Genomic DNA, 23,505 nt, shown 5'->3' on the forward strand with positions numbered 1-23,505 from the left:
TGAATAACTTTTTTGGTAAATAATGAAATTAAGGCAGAAACCAAGAAGTGTTTTGAAACAAATAAGAACAAAAATACAACACACCAGAATCTCTGCAATACAGCTAAGGCAGTGTTAAAAGAAAAATTTATATCATTAAATCCTCAGATCAAAAAGTTAGAAAGATCTCAGTTTAACAACCTGACATCATAAATAAAAGACTGAGAGCAACAAAAGCAAATCAGCCCCTAAGCTAGCAAAAGACAAGAAATAACCAAAATCAGATCTGAACTGAAGGAGATTTAGACATGAAAAACTACAAAATATCAAGAAATCCAGGCATTAAATCTATTTAAAAAAAGTAAATAAACTATGAGCTAGATTAATGAAGATACAAATAAACACAATTAGAAATGACAAAAAGAGACATTACCACTGACCCCACAAAAATATACTGAAGTCTGCTATGCACATAAAAAAAAAACTAGAATAAAAAAATTATTGAACAAATACATCCTCCCAAAACTCAACACACACACACACACACACACACACACACACACAAAATCAAAGCCCTAAATAGATAGATAAGCTCAAAAAACTGAATTAGTAATAAGTAGCCTACCAACTAAATGAAGCTCAGGACCAAACATACTCACAGCTGAATTCTACCAGATGTACAAATAGAAGCTGATATTATTTCTACCAGAACAATTTCAAAAGATTAAAAAGAAGAAACTCCTCCCCAACTCATTATGTAAGAACAGCAATCATTCTGATACCAAAACCTAACAGAGATAAAACAGAAAAAGGCAACTTCAGGCCAATATCCTTGAAAATTGATGCAAAAATCTTCAACAAACAGCTGGGCCCGGTGGCTCATGCCTGTAATCGCAGCACTTTGGGAGGCCAAGGTGGGTTGATTCCCTGAGGTCAGGAGTTCAAGACCAGCCTGGCCAACATGATGAAACCCCGTCTCTTCTCAAAACAGGAAAAAATTAGCTGGGCATGGTAGCACACACCTGTAATCCCAGCTACTTGAGAGGCTGAGGCAGGAGAATCACTTGAACCTGGGAGTCAGAGGTTGCAGTGAACCAAGATTGCACCACTGCACTCCAGCCTGGATGACACAGTGAGACTCCATCTCAAAAAAAAAAAAGAAATCTTCAACAAACTACTAGCAAACCAAATCCAGCAGCATATCAAAAACCTAACCCACTATGATCAACTATGGTTTATTTTGGGGATTCAAGGTTTGTTCAACATACACGAATCAATAAATGTGATTCATCACATAAACAGAATTAAAGACAGAAATCACAAGATTATCTCAATAGATGCACAAAAAGCCTTCAATAAAATTTAACATTTTTCATGTTAAAAACCCTCAACAAACTAGGCACTGATGGTATACATGTCAAAATAGTAAGTTATCTATGACAAATCCACAGCCAAAATACTGAATGGACAAAACCTGGAAGCATTCCTTCTTGAAAACTGGCACAAGACAAGGATGCCTTCTCTCAACACTCCTATATTCAACATAAAATTGGCAGTCTTAGCCAGAGCAATCAGGCAAAAGATAAAAATAAAAGGCATCCAAACAAAAAGAGAGGAAGTCAAACTATCCCTATTTGCAAACAACATGATTCTACATCTGGAAACCCATATACTCTCAGCAGAAAAGCTCTTTAAACTGACAAACAACTTCAGTAAAGTCTCAGGATACAAAAGAAATGTACAAAAATTAGTAGCAACCCTATATATCAAGAACACCTAGGCCAAATCCGAATCGAAAACACAATCCCATTCACAACTGCCACAGAAAAGAATAACATATCTAGAAATACAGATAACCAGAAAGGTAAAAGATCTCTATGACAAGAATTACAAAACAATGCTTAAAGAAGCCAGAGATGACACAAACAAATGGAAAACCACTTTATGCTCATGAATAAAAAAGATCACTATCATAAAAATGGCCATACTGCTTAAATAAATCTACAGATGTAATGCTAATTCAATCAAACCACCAAAATATTTTTTAACAGAACTAAAAAAACAACTATTTTAAAATTCACATGGAACCAAAAAAGAGCCTGAATAGCCAAGGCAATCATAAGCAAAAACAAGAAAGCTGGAGGCATTACATTACCTGACTTCAAACTACACAACAGTGCTACAGTAAACAAAGCAACATGGTACTGGTACAAAAACAAACTCATAGGCCAATGCAACAGAATAGGGAGCCCAGAAATAATGCCACACACCTAAAACCATCTGATCTTCAACAAAGGTGACAACAGGAATGTGGGAAGAATTTCCTATTTAATAAATGGTGCCAGAATAACTAGCTAGCACTATGTAGCAGACTGAAACTGGACCCTTTTATAACACCATATAAAAAAATCAACTCAAGGTAAATGAAAGACTTAAATGTTAATCTTAAAAATTATAAAAAAAAAAAAAACAAAAAACCCTGGAAGATAAGAAGTGCCATTCTAGACATAGAAACTGTCAAAGATTTCATGATGAAGATATCAAAAGCAATTGCAAAAGTTGACAAATGGGACCTAAATAAACTAATGATCTTTTTTCACAGCAAAGGAAACTAGCAACACAGTAAAGAGACACCCTACAAAATAATAGGAAATATTTGCAAACTATGCTTCTGACAAAGGTTTACTATCCAGAATCCGTAAGAACTAAAACAAGTTTACAAGAAAAAAAAAAACTAACTTAAAAGAAGACCAAAAAAAAAACATGAAAAAGATGTTTGTCTTCAAAAGGAGACAAACATGTGGCTAACAAGCATATAAAAAAATGCTCATCACTAATCGTTAGAGAAATGCAAAAGAAAACCACAACAAGAAATCATCTCAAACCAGTGAGAATGGCAATTATTATAATTCAACCATTGTGAAAAGCAGTGTAGTGATTCCTCACTAAACTAAAAATAAAATTACCATTTGACCCAGTAACCTCACAACGGGGTTTATACCTAAAAATATATAAATTATTCTATCATAAAGACACATGCACAATCACATTCGTTGCAGTACTATTCACAATAGCAAAGACATGGAATCAACCTAAATGCCTATCAATGGTAGACTGGATACAGAAAATACGGTATGGTTGGGCATGATGGCACATGTCTGTAATCCAGCACTTTGGGGGCTGAGCCAGGTGGATTGCCTGAGCTCAGGAGTTTGAGACCGGCATGGACAACATGGCAAAATCCCATCTATTAAAAAGAAAAATTAGCTAGGCATGGTGGCACAAGCCTTCAGTCTTAGCTACTTGAGAAGCTTAGATAGAAGAGGATTGTTTGAGCCTGAGTGGGTGAGTTTCAGCGAGCCAAGATCACACCACTGCACTGCAGCCTGGGAAAGAAAGTGAGACCCTGTCTCCAAAAATAACAAAAAATAAAAAACCTAATAAAAACAAAATATGGGCCGGGTGCAGTGGCTCACACCTGTAATCCCAGCACTTTGGGAGGCCAAGGCGGCAGATCACCTGAAGTCAGGAGTTCAAGACCAGCCTGGCCAACATGGCAAAACCCCATCTATACTAAAAATACAAAAATTAGCTGAGTGTGGTGGCACACGCCTGTAATCCCAGCTACTTGGGAGGCTGTGGCAGAACTGCTTGAACCCGGGAGGTGGAGGTTGCAGTGAACTGAGATCATGCCACTGCACTCCAGCCTGTGTGATACAGTGAGATTCCATATCAAAACAAACAAACAAACAAATATGGTACATAAACATCATGACATCATGAAATACTGTGTGGCCATTAAAAAAAAAAAAAAGAGTATGTCCTTTGCAGCAACATGGATGAAGCTGGAGATCACTATTCTTAGAAAACTGATACAGAAACAGAAAACCAAATGCATGTTATTATTTATAAGTAAGAGATAAATAAGAACACATGAACACAGAGGGGAAAAAAGACACTGAGGCCTAGTTGAGGGTGGGAGGACTAAAAGGGTCAGAAAAAGTACATTTTTGGTGCTATGATTAGTACTGCAGTGACAAAATAATCTCCACACCAAACTCCCATGACACAATTTTAGCTGTATAACAAAGCTGCACATGTACCCCTGAACCACCCAAAAATAAAAGTTAAAAGAAAAAAATCCCTCGATTGGAGAGAGTGCAATGCAGGTGGAAGGACTGGTTTGTGCTATAGATAGTGGCCCAGGTGGGGCTGTACTCTGATTCATTTCTGGGTCCATGCAGCCAGATAAGATTATGAATCCTAGGCTGGTGGAGAAAACAGGATGCTACTGCAGATTCCGTGTCTGAAAATAGGGATATGCCAGGAGACTTGTAGACACTTTTGTAGGTTTTTGGCCAAAAAAACCACTAGGATCAAAAATGCTGTGGTAAAATTCCTGAGGGTGGTGCCTTGTCCAGAGAGGGGTGTGGACACATCAATGTCTAGTGGGTGTTTGTGAGTGGGTGGAAATCCTCTGCTGGCAGCTGTGGCAAAAGGGGGTTTGTCATCAGATCTCCTTTAAGTTTTCAGTCTTCTGTCACCCTGGGAGGAGACCTGGAATCAAAGAACAAGGGGCAGTGTGACAGCCTGTGTAGAGGAGAGCAGAGCTTCCCATTCCCAGACACCCGGAGTTTCATTCTAGGCCAGGAGTCTGTGATATCTTTCTTCTGGCACCAAATCTGCAGAGTTTGATGAACACCAACAATTCTCCAACAGCAACTCATTGTCTAACACTTGAATTCTGACACCACCCAGAGTCAGCACAGACCCTGATTCAGGGCTCAGTCCCACAACATTGTCCTCACTGCAGATGCCAGTCACAAACCCCATGGGCTCATCTATGCTTCTGACCTACTGTTTAAAAAGTGGGGACTCCCATAACCTTTTTGAAATTCAGTAATCTGATACAGCTACTCACAGAACTCAGCAGAACACTGTAGTTATATTCACTGGATTCAAATAAAATATACAACCCCCAAAAAGTCAAATGGAAGAAAAGTATAGAACCAAGAAAAAAGGTGGGAAAAGATGAAGCATATAGATAACAAACAGCTAGGATTAATAAAATTCTCTATCCTCTGTGTTCTCCAGGAACACTTATGAAAAGAAACACCCTTCCCATTGTGACTTAGATGGTGCTCTCTTTTCTTACCTACTACACAGCCAGGAAAACACTCTGCATATTTTCTTTTCTCGTTAAAAAAATCAGCTGTATTTGTCTTCAGTGGTCAACATAAAATACTTCTTAATCAAACTTCACTTATTTTCTTCCCACAGGCTCCTGAACTCTGAGCTACTCTCAGTCCGAGCCACCATACAACCTCATTTTATGCTACTGCAGATTCAGTGTCTGAAGAACACTCCTAAGAACACACTGACTTCAGGGTAAAACATTCTCTGATCTAAAATCTGATTATTTCACCCTTCATTTAAATATTCCCCTCACCTTCTTTCTAATCTTATTTGTTTTCTCTAGGAAAAAAAGGCCTTTTCTACCTAATCTTTATAATCCTTAAAGATCTTATAGTTGGTACTTCCTCCTGTTGCAATACTCCTTTGGAATTCTTTTTTTTTTTTTAATGTACATCTAGCTGGTTATTTTAAAACCTCTCAAAACTGCCTCAAAACAGTAACAATTTTATCTTCAATAAGACACTCCCAAACCCCTTCTATCTTAACCTTAACTGCATCTGCCTGTGGGGCCCCAGCTTTCCAGGGCTCTGTAGCTTCTCTCACTATAGAGGCTTCTTCCATGGCTGCGGTAAGCAGGCTGGGACATCTGCAGGAAAGGCTTTCCAGAAGGAACTAAATGGGCCTTTAATAACCTCCGTTTGCTAGCTCAAAATTAACCTTAGCTTGCAGTCATTGGGCTCAAGCTTTAATTACATGTCAGAGTCATTCACTTAGTTTTTGAAACTAAGTGTTTGAAAAATCCAGCAAAATGATTCAAAAACAGTGTTCATATAAGAAAATTTTAAGGTGCTTACCTTTTGTACCTCAGTAAGAGAAGCAAATGTATTTATTTCTTTTGGACAATAAAGCATTATTTTATTTTTTGTATTAAAAATCATGAGGTAAACAGTTATATGGGAACACTTCTAGGAGGTACCTAGTTTCATCACATAAAATTTACCATTAAACTCAGAAATCAAAATAACAGGATATAGAACAAAGATACTTACTTTTGCAAATTTACCCTGCAAAAAAAGAAACTGATGTTTTCACGAATCTATGTAACTCACCAATTATCTACCACATTTTCTTGTGGAAATATATTAATTCTCTATAGCCAAAACGGAAGAAAAAATGTTCTTATTTTTTTCCCAAACATTCCAAAAGCTAGATGGAATTGTTTGAAATCACTCAGCTATAAAAAGCACACCTGAGGGCAGGGCGCAGTGGCTCACACCTGTAATCTCAGCACTTTGGGAGGCCGAGGCAGGTGGATCATGAGGTCAGGAAATCAAGACCATCCTGGCTAACATGGTGAAACACCGTCTCTATTAAAAATACAAAAAAATTAGCTGGGTGTGGTGGCGGGTGCCTGTAGTCCCAGCTACTTGGGAGGCTGAAGCAGGAGAATGGTGTGAACCTGGGAGGCGAAGCTTGCAGCGAGCCGAGATCCCACCACTGCACTCCAGCCTGGGTGACAGAGCGAGATTCTGTCTCAAAAAAAAAAAAAAAGAAAAGAAAAGAAAAGAAAACCACACCTGAGAAAACTCCTAAATTCACTCTGAGAAAGAAAAAGGTGAATGAGAATTTTCAACAAATGAAATATATAATTAGATATTATTTTTTGATACTCACCTTTTTATGCCCTTTGTAAATATTTTCTTACCTTTCAAGCCCTACTAATAAGATGCAATTTACAGTTAAAAAACTGAGGTCAGCCGGGCACAGTGGCTCACACCTGCAATCCCAGCACTTTGGGAGGCCAAGGCAGGCAGATTACTTGAGGTCAGAATTTTGAGCTCAAACAGCCTGGCCAACATGGTGAACCCCCATCTCTACTAAAAATACAAAAAGTAGCCAGGTGTGGTGGTGGGCACCTGTAGTCCCAGCTGCTTGGGAGGCTGAGGCATGAGAATCACTTGAACTTGGGATGCAGAGGTTGCAGTGAGCCGAGATTGCACCACCGCACTCCAGCCTGGGCGACAGAGGAAAACACTGTCTAAAACAAAAAAGTCCGTGTGCGGTGGCTCACGTCTGTAATCCCAGCACTTTGGGAGGCCAAGGTGGGTGGATCACGAGGTCAAGAGTTCGAGACCAGCCTGGGCAATATGGTGAAATTCCATCTCTACCAAAAATACAAAAATTAGCCAGGCATGTGGGTGCACGCCTGTAGTCCCAGCTACTTGGGAGGCTGCGGCAGAAGAATTGCTTTAATCCGGGAGGCGGAGGTTACAGTGAGCAGAGATCATGCCACTGCACTCCAGCCTGGGCGACAGAGGGAGACTCCATCTCAAAAAAAAAGAAGAAGAAAAAAAACTAAGGTCAAAATAAGTGAACAAATCATTTAATCGTTTCAAGGTAGAGATATGTCTGATTCATGTGTCAAGTCAGGTCATCCAATTACTGAGAGATTCAGCCACCCCATCCTGTTCACTTAAGTGCTCAATAATCATTCTCTCAGGAGACTCTGAACTATGCCCCAGTGAGTGCCCCAGGTACATTTTACTTTGCAAGTTCTTGCACCATCTCACTGGGGTCAGTTTCTTTTTCTTTGTCTTTGGAGTGCTATTTTTTTCCACAAACTTTTTACCATTTTTCTTTCACTATTTTTCTGTCCCCTAGGAGAATCCAGAGGCAAAAATTATTTTGGTTTCCCCTTCAATACCGGCATCTGATTGTCTGAACAGCAATGTGTCTCCAAGAAATGGAAGCTGGGTTGGGTAAAGACAATACTAATACCTCAAGGGGTTAGCTTTCCAAAAAAACAGGGCACCAGTAGATGCCTCTCAGCCCCAGGGCATTCACCTGCTCTCCTGAAAGGCTACATTCCATACCTCGGGTTGTCCTACAGGAGATGAGAGGCTACACTCCATACCTCAGGTTGTCTTATGAAAGATAAGAGGCTACACTCCATACCTCAGGTTGTCTTATGGGAGATGAGAGGCTACACTCCATACCTCTGGTTGTCTTATGGGAGATGAGAGGCTACACTCCATACCTCTGGTTGTCTTATGGGAGATGAGAGGCTACACTCCATATCTCTGGTTGTCTTATGGGAGAAAATGACCCAGGAGCTGATATTCACTAGATACTCTTGCAGACACAGCCATGGCCAGTATCTTGGTTTTTCCCCAGACAGTACTGAATCTCAGGTCCAAGGAAAAAACTGAAGGGTGGCTGAGGACACGTCTCCCTATAACTTTTCCAAAGGGAAACCCTGACCCAAAAAACATTCTGATAAGATATCTGTGTCTAGGGAAACTAGAAGAAAAAAACATTTACAAACAGAAAACAAATCTTTTTAAATGTGCCATCAAATGCTTTGTCAAAAAATGATTACAATAGGTATCAAAATGTACACTAAAGGACAAATAGTTGATCATGTGAATAAGGGAGGGGAAACTGGCATTTGGGAATGTCAGAAGGAACTGGAAATTAAGTATTTTACTGCAAGTCAGAGTCAGGCTGGAGAAATAGGGGGTGGCAGATAGACTTGAGGCCCTGCTTGGGACACATGTGAAAAATGCAAGGAAACAGCAGTTCCCTGTGGGGTGTGAAAATAATTAAGTGGCTGGCAGTTAGACTGAGGAGGCTTTATTTCCTAATTTCTACTTTTAAAAAATCTAATTCGGCCAGGCGTGGCGGCTTACACCTGTAATCCCAGCACTTTGGGAGGCCGAGGCGGGTGGATCACTTGAAATCAGGAGTTCGAGACCAGCCTGACCAACACGGTGAAACCCCGTCCCTATTAAAAATACAAGTGGCACATGCCTGTAATCCCAGCTACTTGGGAGGCTGAGGCAGGAGAATCGCTTGAACCTGGGAGGCGGAGAGTCCAGTTAGCCTAGATGGCGCCATTGCACTCCAGCCTGGGCGACAAAGTGAGACTTGGTCTCAAAAAAAAAAAAAAAAAAAATCTAATTCAAATGTATTTTTTTTAAATTACTACATTGGGGGAAAAAAATTCAGGCTTAACACACTATAAACTGCCAATTAACCTCTGATTACATAACCAAGAAATTTCCATCTTCATGTTACAAATTAAGAAACCATGAGGCTGGGCGCCATGACTCACACCTATAATCCCAGCACTTTGGGAGGCTGAGGCGGGTGGATCATGAGGTCAGGAGATCGAGACTACCCTGACTAACACGGTGAAACTCCGTCTCTACTAAAAAATACCAAAAAATTAGCCGGGGGTGTTGGCGGGCACCTGCAGTCGCAGCTACTCGGGAGGCTGAGGCAGGAGAATGGCGTGAACCCGGGAGGCGGAGCTTCCAGTGAGCCAAGATTCCGCTACTGCACTCCAGCCTGGGCGACAGAGCGAGACTCCATCTCAAAAAAAAAAAAAAAAAAAACAACAAAAAACCAGGAAACTACATAACTGTACCTAACCAATTATTGAATGTGGTTTTCTTCATTATGCACCTTATAAAACTCTTTCCATCAAACCCCTTCAATAGACCATAAACTACAATCCATAGTTGGGTGCTCTACAATTTTGGAATCACTCTTAAATTATTTAATATTTTTTCGGCGACTTCCATAAATTTTTAATGGGAGAATACAGGAACTGGGAGCCTCACGGACCAAAGCTCTTCCCATTCATGAACCCACACCTCAAGTCAGGATTCTCCTCTGACTACCCTCCCACAGTCCGTGCACAATCTGGGAGAGACTCCGCGCTGAGGGTGCAGAGCTGCCCCAAGAGGGCTCCAGGCCAGGGCACAATCACAGCGCAGGGAAGAGACAGGACGCCCGGCGGCCCGCGCAGCCGCCATCTTATGGCTGAAGGGGACTGAGGTCGAGCTAGGCAAGGAGAACTTGTGGAGCTGACTGCGGGTAGGCTTGAGTCCCGCCACAGCCACTTCCCGCCGGTTCCAACCAGCCCAGGCCACTCTCTCAGTGTGTCGGACCCGGCACACTCACCATTTCTAGGCTTCCAGGGGGTCCTGGCGACTTAGTTGTGGATCTCCCAATACCTGCAGGTCATAGGGCCACAGAGGCTGGGACTCTAGGAACAGTAAGGACAAGGCCTTTACCTCCGGCTGCAGCGAGAGACAAAGGACCGACCACATCCCGGAAGCCGACCTGTCCCCCCCCCCAGCTGCCTGCCTGATTGGACATTCCCAGCCCAGCATCCCTGATTGGATAATGTTTAAGGCCCCGCCCTTTCAGGCCCTGAGTGACAGAAGATGTGATCAGATGCTGGGCTGAATGAAGAAAGAGAGCCAACGTAGGCTGCAGCCTTTTCAGGCAGGGCTTCCTCCCTGAGCTGAGCCAGGCCTACCCCAGAGCATGGGAAAATTCTATCTCTTCTTTATTCTCTCTTTTTAAATGTATTTGAAATGTGAACAAATATATTTTACTGTCATGTTAATAATACATAAAACTTTTGTACAAGAGTAAATCAATTTTTACTTTAGTAATAGTGTATTATCAATACTAAAGGCTGGGTGCAGTGGCTTACGCCTTTAATCCCATCAGTTTGGGAGGCCGAGGCGGGTGGATCACCGGAGGTCAGAAGTTCAAGATCAGCCTGGTTGACATGGTGAAACCCCTTCTCTACTAAAAATACGAACATTAGTCAGGTGTGGTGGTGGGCGCCTGTAATCCCAGCTATTCAGGAGGCTGAGGCAGGAGAATCATTTGAACCCGGGAGGTGGAGATTGCAGTGAGCCAGGATCAAGCCATTGCACTGCGGCCTGGGCAACAAGAGTGAAACGCCAGCTCAAAAACATGGGCAACAAGAGTGAAACGCCATCTCAAAAAACAAAACAACAAAAAAGCTAAACCTAATGTTAGTAAAACCTTATAAATAAATCCATGAAATTTGTCATTTTTGAACACTCTAGATGTTCATATATATTTTACAATCTCATATTTAACTTTTTCTATTTTATTTTAATAGCCTTTTTTTTTAACTTGAAACAACCTTAAGCTGTTTTTTGAGACGAGTCTTGCCAGGCTAGAGTGCAATGGCATGATCTCAGCTCACTGCAACCTCCCTCTCTGGGTTCAAGCGATTCTCCTGCCTCAGCCTCCCGAGTAGCTGGGATTACAGGCGCCCACCACCACACCCAGCTAATTTAGCATGGTAGCCTCACCCTGTAGTACCAGCTATTCGGGGGCTAAAGTAGGAGGATTGCCTGAGCCCAGGAGGTTGTGGCTGCAGTGAGCCCTGATCAAGCCACTGCACTCCATTCTGGGTGACAAGAGTGAGACTCTTTCTAAAAAAAAAAAAAAAGCCAAAACATATAAACTTAAACTTATGGGAGTTTGGAGGTTTTTATTTTTGTCTTAAATTATTATATTTCAATAGTTTTGGGGTACATGTAGTATTTGGTTACATGGATAAGTTCCTAAATCTTTTCTGAGATTTAGGTGCACCAATCTCCCAAGCAGTGTGCACTCTACCCAATGTGTAGTCTTTCATCCCTCACCCCCTCTCCTACCCTTCCCACTGAGTGCCCAGAGTCCACTATATAATTCTTTTTTTTAATTATATTTATTTATTGAGACAGAGTTTCGCTCTTATTGCCCAGGCCGGAGTACAGTGGCGCGATCTCAGCTCACCGCAACCTCTGCCTCCCAGGTTCAAGCGATGCTCCTGCCTCAGCCTTCCCGAGTATCTGGGATTATAGGCATGTGCCACCATGCCTGGCTAATTTTGTAGTTTTAGTAGAGACAGGGTTTCTCCATGTTGGTCAGGCTTGTCTCGAACTCCCAACCTCAGGTGATCGCCCACCTCAGCCTCCCAAAGTGCTGGGATTACAGGCGTGAGCCACCGTGCCCATCCCCATTACATAATTGTTATGCCTTTGCATCTTCATAGCTTAGCTCCCGTTTATAAGTGAGGAAATACAATATTTGGGTTTGTATCCCCTAGTTCTTTTTTCCTTTTTTTTTTTTGAGATGGAGTTTGCTGTGATTACAGGCATAAGCCACCGTGCCTGGCCTATTTTTTGATGTTTTAATTATGGTCTTTTCTGTTTGTTTGTTTGTTTGTTTGTTTGTTTGTTTTTGACATGGAGTCTGTCACACAGACTGGACTGCAGTGGTGCGATCTTGGCTTACTGCAACCTCCACCTCCCGGGTTCAAGCGATTCTCCAGCCTCAGCCTCTGGAGTAGCAGGGATTACGGACACACTCCATCGCGCCCTGCTAATTTTTGTATTTTTAGTAGAGGTGAGGTTTTACCATGTTGGCCAGGCTAGTCTGGAACTCCTGACCTCAGGTGATCCACCCGTCTTGGTCTCCCAGAGTGCTGGGATTACAGGCATGAGCCACCATGCCCGGCCAATGATGGTCATTCTTGCAAGAGTAAGGTGATATCACATTGTGGTTTTGATTTGTATTTCCCTAATCATTAATCATTAGTGATGTTCAGCATTTTTTTTTAATGTTTGTTGGCCATTTGTATATCTTCTTTTGAGAATTGTTTAAGTCCCATCTGTCTTTGTTTTTGTTGCATTTGCTTTGAGGTTCTTGGTCATGCACTCTTTGCCTAAGTCAATGCCTAGGAGAGTTTTTTCAATGCTTTAGAATTCGGGTAGTTTCAGGTCTTAGATTAAAGTATTTGATCCATCTTGAGTTGATTTTTGTATAAGGTGAGAGATGAAGATACTTTTTTTTTATTTTTATTTTTTTGAGACGGAGTCTCGCTCTGTTCCCAGGCTGGAGTACAGTGTCATGATCTCGGCTCACTACAACCTCTGCCTCCCGGGTTCAAGCAATTCTCTGCCTCAGCCTCCCAAGTAGCTGGGATTACAGGCACCTGCCACCACACCCAGCTAAATTTTTTTTTTTTTTTTTGTATTTTTAGTAGAGACGGGGTTTCACCATCTTGGCCAGGCTGGTTTTGAACTCCTGACCTCGTGATCCACCCACCTTGACCTCCCAAAGTGCTGGGATTACAGGTATAAGCCACTGCACTCAGCCGAAGATCCAGTTTTATTCTTCAATATGTGGCTTCCCAATTATCCCAGTACCATTCTATTCAATAGAATAGGGTGTTATTTCCCCACTTCATATCTTTGTTTACTTTGTCAAAGATCAGTTGACTGTAAGTATTTGGGTTTATTTCTGGTTTCACTATTCTGTTTCATTGGTCTTCATATCTATTTTTATACCCATACAATGCTGTTTTGGTAACTATAACCTTGTAGTATAGTTTGAAGTCAGATAACGTGATGTCTTCAGATTTTTTTGTGTGTTTTTGATTTTGTTGTTTTGTTTTGTTTTGTTTTGTTTTCCTAGTCTTGCTTTGACTATGGAGGCTCTCTTTTTATTTTATATAAATTTTAGGATTTTTTTTTTTTAGTTTTAGGATTTTTTTTTTTTTGGTATCCTGAAATTTTACTGCATTTATGTATCAGATCGAAAAGTTTTTTGTTTTGTTTTTTTTTCTTTTTGAGACAAGGTCTTACTCTGTCACCCAGGCTGGAGTGCAGTGGCATGATCTTGGCTCACTGCACCCTCTGCATCCCAGGTTCAAGTGATTCTCCTGTCTCAGCCTCCCTTGTAGCTGGGATTACAGCCACTTGCCACTGCAACCGGCTAATTTTTGTATTCTTAGTAGAGATGGGGTTTTACCATGTTGGCCAGGCTGGTCTTGAACTCCTGACCTCAAGTGATCCACCTGCCTCCATGTCCCAAAGTGCTGGGATTACAGGCTTGAGCCACTGCATCCAGCCCTAAAAGCTTTTTTAGTTGAGTTTTAGGGTTTCCCAGGTACACAATTATATCATTGGTAAACAGTGACAATTTGACTTCCTCTTTACCAATTTAGATTCTGTTTATTTTTTGCTTTACTCTGATTGCTTTGGCTAAGACATCCATTACTGTGTTGAATAGAAGTGGTGAGAGTGGGCATTATTGTCTTGTTCCAGTTCTCAGAAAAAATCCTTTCAACTTTTTCCTGTTCAGTGTAATGTTGGCTGTTTATCACAGATAGATTTTTTTTTTTTCTCGGACGGAGTCTCGCTCTGTCACCCAGGCTGGAGTGCAATGTCAGGATCTCTGCTCACTGCAATCTCCACCTCCCAGACTCAAGCGATTCTCCCGCCTCAGCCTCCCCAGTAGCTGGCACCACAGGCACCCACCATCATGCCTGGCTAATTTTTGTATTTTTGAACAGACGAGGTTTCACCATGTTGGCCAAGCTGATCTCAAACTCCTGACCTCAAGTGATCTGCCCACCTCAGCCTCCCAAAGTGCTGGGATTACAGGCATGAGCCACCACGCCCAGCCTGTCATAGATGGTTTTTATGACCTTACAATATGTTCCCTCTATCCCGATTTTGCTGAGGATTTTAATCATAAAGTGATGCTGGATTTTGCCAAATGATTTTTCTGCATATATTGAGATAATCATATAATTTTTGGTTTTAATTCTGTTTATTTGGTGTATAACATGTATTGACTTACCTATGTTAAATCATCTCTGCATCCCTGGCATAAAATGTTCTTGATTATGGTGTACTATCTTATTAATATGTTGCTGTGTTTGGTTAGCTAGTATTTTATGGAAGATTTTTGCATTTATGCTCATCAGGAACATTGGTGTGTAGTTTTCTTTTATTATGTCTTTTCATGATCTTGGTATTAGAGTGATACTGGCTTCATAGAATAATTTAGGAAGGATTCCCTTTTTCTCTATCTTTTGGAATAGTTTCAGTAGGACTGGTACCAATTCTTTGAATTTTGGATAGAATTGAGCTATGAATCCATCTTGTCCTGGACGTTTTTTGTTGGCAGTTTTTTTTTTTTTTTTTCTTGAGTCTTGCGCTGTCACCCAGGCTGGAGTGCAGTGGTGCGATGTTGACTCACTGCAAACTTGCCTCCTGGGTTTAAGTGATTCTCCTGCCTAAGCCTCCCAAGTAGCTGGGATTACAGGCACAAACCACCATACCTGGCTAATTTTTGTATTTTTAGTAGAGATGGGGTTTTGCCATGTTGATCAGACTGGTCTCAAACACCTGACCTCAAGTGATCCCCCCACCTCGTCCTACCAAAGTGCTAGGATTACAGGCATGAGCCACTGAACCCAGCTGGCAATGTTTTATTACTAGTTTAATCTTGCTACTTGTTATTGGTGTGTTCAGAGTTTTTATTTCTTCCTGATTTAATCTAGGAGGGTTGTATATTTCCAGGAATTTATCAAACTCCTCTAGGTTTTCAAGTTTGAGCATGTAAAGGTATTCGTAGCAGCTTTGAATGATCTTTTATTTCTAATTGAGCATATTTGGATCTTCTTTCTGCTTTTCTGGGTTAATCTTACTAATAGTCTATCAGTTGGATTTATCTTTTCAAATAACTAGCTTATTGTTTTATCTTTTATATTTTTTAAAATTTCAAATTTATTTAGTTCTTCTCTGATCTTTGTTATTATTTTTTTTTCCTGCTGGGTTTGGGTTTGGTTTGTTCTTGTTTCTCTTGTTCCTTGAGGCTAAACAATCTCAGGTTGTTTATTGTGGTTTTTTGAACTTTTTGATGTATGTATTTAATGCTATGAACTTTCCTCTTAGCACTGCTTTTGCTGTATCCCAGATGTTTTAATATGTTGTGTCACTATTATTCAATTTAAATAATTATTTAATTTCCATCTTGATTTCATTGTGGAACCAATTATTCATGAGCAGTTTATTTAATTTTCATGTATTTGTATGGTTTTGAGTGTTCCTATTTGAATTGATTTCTAATTTTATTCCACTGTGGCCTAAGACAGTACTTGATATAATTTTAATATTCTTAAATTTATTCAGGGGCTGGGCATGGTGGCTCATGCTTTAATCCCAGCACTTTGGGATGCCAAGGCAGGTGGATAACCTGAGGTCAGGAGTTCAAAACCAGCCTGGTCAACATGGTGAAACCCCATCGCTACTAAAAATACAAAAATTAGGCAGGCATGGTGGCACGTGGCTGTAATCCCAGCTACTCAGAAGGCTGAGGTAGGAGAATCCCTTGAACTTGGGAGGCAGAGGTTGCTGTGAGCTGAGATTGCACCATTGCACTCCAGCCTTGGTGACAGAGCAAGACTGTCACAAAAAAAAAAAACATCAGACTTGTCTTTTGGCCTATTATATGGTCTATCTTGAAGAATGTTTTATGTGCTGATGAAAAGAATGTATATTCTGCAGTTGTTGGGTAGAATATTCTGTAAATCTCTGTTAAGTCCATTTGTTCTAAGGTGTAGTTTAAGACCATTGTTTTTTGTTTGTTTGTTTGTTTGTTCATTTGACTTTCTGTCTTGATGATATGTCTAATGCTGTAAGTAAAGTAAAAAAGTCCCCCAATATTTTTATGTTGTTGTCTCTCTCATTGCATTTCTTAAGGGACAACTTAGGTGAAACAAGAAAATTTATACTTCTGAAGCACAGAACTAACATTTTAGGCTAAAATATATTTTTTTTTTCTTTGAGATGGAGTCTCACTCTGTCGCCCAAGCTGGAGTGCAGTGGTGTGATCTTGGCTCACTTGCAACCTCCACCTCCTGGCTCAAGTGATTCTCCTGCCTCAGACTCCCGAGTAGCTGGGACTGCAGGCACCTGCCACCACGCATGGCTAATTTTTGTGTTTTTTAGTAGAAACAAGGTTTCACCATATTGGCCAGGCTGGTTTCAAACTCCTGACCTCAGGTGATCTGCCTGCCTCGGCCTCCCAGAGTGCTGGGATTACAGGTGTGAGCCACTGTGCCTGGCCTTAAATGTACTGTTTATGTTTTTTTTAATATATAAGATTAAATGATTTGCAAACAGCAACTTTTTATTTATTTGTCTTCAATTTCAATGGCTTTAAACAATTTTTTTGCCTAGTTCTTCTGCCATGTACTTCCAGGTTTATGTTAAAGTAGAAGCATTGACAATGGGGACAATATAGTTTTGCATTGCATTGGTTTTTGTAAATTTCGTGGAGCAAAAGCCTGTTCAAGTTTATATAAACTGGTTACAAGGGGTAAAAATCTTCTTCTGTTGGGCCCCCATATTTATAGGATGCCCTCTTTATTTGTAATAGAGAGAGGTGGTAAACGCAGCAAAGCAGCTGCGTCTGCATAGGATTTACCTTTAGTTGGCTTGTTACAAAAGGCTTGGGTAGTTGTAATTCCCATTTTATTATTGAACAGATTGAATATCCTTCAGGACTTTCATCTGTAGAGCAGACACTAGGGGAAGTTGTTGCAGTCAGATCTGCATATGGTGGGGCTTACATCAGGATGTGGATGAGGATGCCTTTCACCAAGTACTAGAGAGGGTCTTCCCAGGTCACTGTGTGGGATTCTACCTAGGCAGAATTGGCCATAAACTGTGGATTGGAGTTAGAACTAAAACATTAAACTGTATGGCTACAAATGGGTGTCTTCCTCCAGGCCTCTGGAAGGGCAGAAGCTCTCCCAGGCTGTGGCTGGGAGGAGTTTGGAATGGTTATAGGATAAGTTCAGAATTCTCAGTGGGAGCAAGTTGAGTTGGCTATTTTTTGGGTTGTGGCCAAGAACAGAAATCCTGTAGTTTGCCACCTTAGTGGAAGCCTGTCTCCTGAAAAGAATGTTCCTCAATCTTGGGCTTTAGCAGAGTTTCACAACTCCGTCCCTGGATCTCAAAGCTCTTTTGAAGGTACTTGTTTTAGAGATGAAGTCTTTCTACATAACACAGGCTGGTCTTGAAATCTTGGCCTGAAGAAATTCTTCAACCTGAATGTTTTATGTAGCTATCATTACAGATATGAGCCAGGATGCCTGGATCTCTCATAAACACATTTTTGTCAGGGCTGGCTCACAGTTTTCTTGCTGTCGGGGGATAAGAAAATAGGTCACCTTTTTTTTTTTTTTAAATTTTACTGATGTCGCTCTCCCTATACATTTTTACTTTGTATTTCCTATTTCAAATTTCTCTGTTATTTTAGATTCAGACATTTAGGATAATATGTTAGAATTTACATGTTATGCCTGAAATAAATTAGATTATTAGTAGGCATTCCTTATTTACTAAAATATTTAGTTATAAATTTAAGTTTGCTGCAGGCAGAAAGGAATTATATGATTTCCATTCACTTTCTTCAGCCTATATTTAAATAATAAAATAAGTTCTTCCCTGATAATTGTTTTATATATCAGAGGCTTTAATTATATTCTGCAGACTTTTTTTTTAATTTAACAAAGTAAGACTATTCTTTGCTTCTAAAGTTAAATTACAGCAGTTTCATTTTGTGTAAGAATAGCACATATTCTTTAAGAATATATGTAGCATATATTGTGTAAGAACAGCATATATAACGATGAAATTTACCTCTAGTTTTCTTTAGTGCTTATTTATTAAAAGCTTATCATTAGAATCTTCTATTTATGATTATACTGCAATTTCTCTTAAGTTTTACTGCCATGCAGTGCATGCCGATGACTCAAAATACCTGCCTTCCATGAGTACACAGACACAGTCAAATATTGTAGTTATCTAGACAAATTTTTGTAATGGTACATCAATGTTGCATACTAGATCTGATGAGTAAACATTTCTGTTATTATTATTTTGCAGTTCTATATGTGTGCTTTTTAGCGTCAGTTTCTTAATATCAGTGAATTTTTTTTGTTTTACGTATTATAATTCTAGACAATTTGCAATTCTGTTTGTACACTTTAAGTCAATGTGGGGTTTAATTGAGAAATAAATTAGCCATATGTCTATCACAATCAGATTATATATTTGTGTGTTTTTATCTATAAATATGACTCCAATTATGGTTATGGCTTATCTTGTATATATTCTTTCTTAGCTGATTTTCAGTGGTTGTTTTATCTTGTCTAAGTGAGTAGTTGTGGAAATAATCTTATTTTTGCCTTGTGTTTAATAATGAATATATATTTTCTTTGTGTGAGAGAAACACTTTTGTGATTTGAAGGTAATTCTAGAAAAGATTTATAATTCTTCATTTAGTTTTTCTTCTAAAATAATTTTTGTAAAAACAGATAACATAAAATTGATTCTCTAAAATCTATTTAAGTGTACATTTTATGGCCAGGCATGGTAGTGGCTCACCTCTGTGATCCCAGAAATTCGAGAGGTCAAAACAGAAGGATCACCTGAGCCCAAATGTTTGAGATCAGCCTGGGAAACATATAAAGACCTGCTGTATCCAAAAAAATTTTAAAATAACAAGCCATGGTGGTGTGCACCTGTGGTTCCAGCAACCTGGGAGATCAAGGGAAAAGGAGTACTTTATCCTGGGAGTTTGAGGCTGAAGTGAGCCATAATTTTGCCACTACACACCAGTTTGGGTGACAAAGTGAGACCCTCTGTCAAAAAAAAAAGCTGTGGATTTCAGGCATGTTAAAGTATATTCACCTGGTTATGCAAAAGGCTTCTAGAGGTTTTACATCTTGTAAAACTAATACTCAATACCCACTAAGTAACAACTGCCCATTTTACCCTCTCTCCAGCCCTTGGCAAATATCTTTCAGCTTTCTGTTTTTATGAGTTTGGCTATTTAACTTATCTCAGGTAAATGAAGTAATGTAGTATTCATCATTTTGTTACTGGTTTATTTCATGTGACATAGTATTTTCAAAGTTTATCTTAAAATGTGACAAAATTTTCTCTTTTAAGGCTGAATGATATTCCATGTATGTGTATGTTAAATTTTTTGATGTATTTATAAATCAAGGGACATATAGATTACTTCAGCCTTTTGGCTTTTGTGAAATCTGGTACAATAAGCATAAATGTTTACATGTCTCCTCCAGGTTCTGTGTTGCATACTTTGGAAATCAATTTATAAATAAGATTGTTGTAATTGATTACAATTTTATTTTTAATTATCTGAGGAACATTTATAACATTTTAAAATAATGGCTGCATCTTTGTTTTCCACCAACAATCAGCATAGGTTTCATTTTCATAGCATCACCAATAGATCTGGTTTTCTTAAAAAATTGATAGTGGCCGTTCCAATGGGTGTCAGGTTATTTTGTATTTCACTGTGATATTTATGCATTCCTCTACAAATTAGTAATTTTGTGAGTCCTGTCAAATGCTCTTCCCATTTATGCTTTTGATAAAAATTTAGTTTAATTAGTTTTCCATTTCTAAATCCTGTTATTCAACTTTATTGTTCAGTTTTAAGAGTTGCTTATATATTCTGAATATTAACTTCTATCACATGTGATTTGCAAATATTTTCATTGATTTCCTAAGTGGCATTGTCACTCTCTTGAAGTTTTTTTTGATGTGCAAAAATTTTGAAGTATATTTCAGTTAAATTTTTCTGTTCTTTTCATTGTTGCTTATGCGTTTAATGTCATCTAAGAAAATGATTCCAAGGCCAATGTCATGTCTTTTCTCCATGTTTTTTTAAGACACTTATTAGCTATTTTTTATATCTAAGTATTTTATATAAATTTTTTTGTCTATGGTTCAAGGAAAGAATCCAGCTTTATCAGTATAGATATTCAGTTTTCAGCATTAATTTTTGAAGATATTATCTTTTCTCTATTGTGTGCTCATGGCAGCTTTGTGGAAGATCATTATTTACAGAAGGGTTCATTTCTGGGCTCTCTATTCTGATTTATCATCTGTTTATCTGTCTTTGTGTCAGTACTATATTGTTTTCATTATAGCTTTTAATATGTTTTGAAATGGGAAAGTTTATTACCTCCTCTATTTCATGGGTGTTTGGCTAGTTATAGTTAATAATCAAATTTTAAAATGTTAAATAATATTTCTGTTTAAAAATCCTGTGCTATTAGGAATTTTATAGAAATTACGTCAAATTTGTTTACCACTGTAGGTTGTACTGACATCTTAAAAAATTAAATTTTTTGACTCTTGAGCAAGAATATGTTAAAGAGTGTTTTATTTTTATTTTATTTATTTATTTATTTTATTTAGAGAGAGAAGGGATCTTGCTTTTTTTTTTTCCTTTGAGACAGAGTCTCACTCTGTCATCCAGGCAGGAGTGCAGTGGCACAATCTCAATTCAACACAACCTCCACCTTCTGGGTTCAAGTGATTCTCCTGCCTCAGCCTCCTGAATAGTTGGGATTACAGGCACTCACCACCATGCCTGGCTCATTTTTTTGTATTTTTAGTAGAGACGAGGTTTCACCATGTTGGTCTGGCTGGTCTCAAACTCTTGATGTCAGGCAATCCACCTGCCTCGGCCTCCCAAAGTTCTCGGGTTACAGAGGTGAGCCACTGCACCCAGCTCATGTGTTTAATTTTTATATACTTTTGGATTTTCCTGTTTTACTTTTACCTTAGGTTCAAATAATAGCATCAGCAAATCTGTCCTGCCAAATGAAAAGAGGAAAACCTTTCAAAATAACCAAATTTTGAAAGAGCATACTGGCACTGCATATGCCCTATAAAGAATGCTGAAAAGCATCCCACTTATTCTAAAATTGACCACATAATTGGAAGTAAAACACTCATCAGCAAATGCAAAAGAATGGAAATCATAACAAACAGTCTCTCATACCACAGTGCAATCAAATTAAAACTCTGGATAAGTAACTCACTCAAAACCACTCAACTACATGGAAACAGAACAACATGCTCCAGAATGACTACTGGGGAAATAATGAAATGAAGGCAGAAATAAGTAAGTTCTTTGAAACCAATAAGAATGATGACACAATGTACCAGAATCTCTGGGTCACAGACAAAGCAGTGCTTAGAGGGAAACTTATAGCACTAAATGCTCACAAGAGAAAGCAGGAAAGGTCTAAAATCAACATCCTAAAATCACAATTAACAGAACTAGAGAAGCAAGAGCAAACAAATTCAAATGCTGGCAGAAGACAAGAAATAACTAAGATTAGAGCAGAACTGAAGGAGATAGAGACACAAAACACCCTTCAAAAAATTAATGATTCCAGGAGCTGGTTTTTTGAAAAGATCTACAAAATAGATAGACTGCTAGCCAGACTAATAAAGAAGAAAAGAGAGAGGAATCAAATAGATGCAATAAAAAATAATCAAGAGGGTATTGGCACTGATCCCACAGAAATACAAACTACCATCAGATAATACTGTAAACACCTCAATGTAAAAAACTAGATAATCTAGAAGAAATGGATAAATTCCTGGACACATACCCTCTGAAGACTAAACCAGGAAGAAGTCAAATCCCTGAATAGACCAATAACAAGTTTTGAAATTGAGGCAGTAATTAATAGCCTACCAACCAAAAAATACCTGGGACCAGACAGATTCACAGCCATATTCTACCACAGGTACAAAGAGGAGCTGGTACCAATTCTTCTGAAATTATTCCAAACAATAGAGAAAGAGGGACTCCTCCCTAGCTCATTTTGGGCCAGCATCATCCTGATACCAAAGCTGGCAGAGACACAACAAAAAAAGAAAACTTCAGGCCAATATCCCTGATGAACATTGATGTGAAAATCCTCAATAAAATACTGGCAAACTGAATCCAGCAGCACATCAAAAAGCTTATCCACCATGATCCAGTCAGCTTCATCCCTGGGATGCATGGCTGGTTCAACATACACAAATCAATAAACGTAATCCATCACATAAACAGAACCCATGACAAAAACCACGTGATTATCTCAATAGATGCAGAAAAGGCCTTCAACAAAATTCAACACCCCATTCATGCTAAAAACTCTCAATAAACTAAGTATTGATGGAACATATCTCAAAATAATAAAAGCTATTTATGACAGACCACAGTTAATGTCATACTGAATGGGCAAAACCTGGAAGCATTCCCTTTGAAAACTGGCACAAGACAAGGATGCCCTCTCTCACCATTCCTATTCAACATAGTATTGGAAGTTCTGGCCAGGACAATCAGGCAAGAGAAAGAAATAATGAGTATTCAAATAGGAAAAGAGGAAGTCAAATTGTCTCTGTTTGCAGATGACATGATTGTATGTTGAGAAAACTCCATCATCTCCGCCCCAAATCTCCTTAAGCTGATAAGCAACTTCAGCAAAGTCTCAGGATACAAAATCAATGTGCAAAAATCACAAGCATTCCTATACACCAATAACAGACCAACAGAGAGCCAAATCATGACTGAGCTCCCATTCACAATTGCTACAAAGAGAATAAAATAACTAGGAATACAACTTCCAAGGGATGTGAAGGACCTTTTCAAGGAGAGCTACAAACCACAGCTCAATGAAATAGAAGAGGACACAAACAAATGGAAGAACATTCCATGCTCATGATAGGAAGAATCAATATCATGAAAATGGCCATACTGCCTAAGGTAATTTATAGACCCAATGCCATCCCCATGAAGCTACCAATGACTTCACAGCATTGGAAAAAACTACTTTAAATTTCATATGGAACCAAAAAAGAGTCCACATTGCCAAGACAATCCTAA

The 23,505-nt window shown here is 39.2% G+C and overlaps 1 protein-coding gene across 10 annotated transcripts in view, besides 1 other annotated feature; it reads right to left on the bottom strand.

Annotated features, from left to right (window-relative positions):
- ZNF676 (zinc finger protein 676) overlaps positions 1 to 23,505 on the bottom strand; it is an 81,216-nt gene that overhangs the window by 26,460 nt on the left and 31,251 nt on the right. For 2 of the 10 annotated variants that reach the window (XM_047438361.1, XM_047438352.1), the window contains exon 1: positions 10,084 to 10,221. The exons of the other annotated variants lie outside the window; for them this stretch is intronic. Coding sequence is in view for 1 of the 2 variants with exons in the window: in XM_047438352.1 (XP_047294308.1) it covers positions 10,084 to 10,086 (3 nt within the window). In the remaining variant the exon portion in view is untranslated. Of the gene's footprint in view, positions 1 to 10,083; positions 10,222 to 23,505 lie in introns of those variants that run through there. 10 annotated transcript variants of the gene reach the window in all.
- Positions 10,746 to 10,961: a silencer, noted in NCBI's record as "fragment chr19:22399096-22399311 (GRCh37/hg19 assembly coordinates)". NCBI's record gives its function as "represses an EF-1alpha promoter that drives an FKBP-Casp9 reporter gene in an ReSE screen in K562 erythroleukemia cells {active_cell/tissue: K562}" and the evidence as "EXISTENCE:reporter gene assay evidence [ECO:0000049][PMID:32094911]".

This window comes from Homo sapiens, chromosome 19 (assembly GCF_000001405.40).
Source record: "Homo sapiens chromosome 19, GRCh38.p14 Primary Assembly".
NCBI classification, from domain to species: domain Eukaryota; kingdom Metazoa; phylum Chordata; class Mammalia; order Primates; family Hominidae; genus Homo; species Homo sapiens.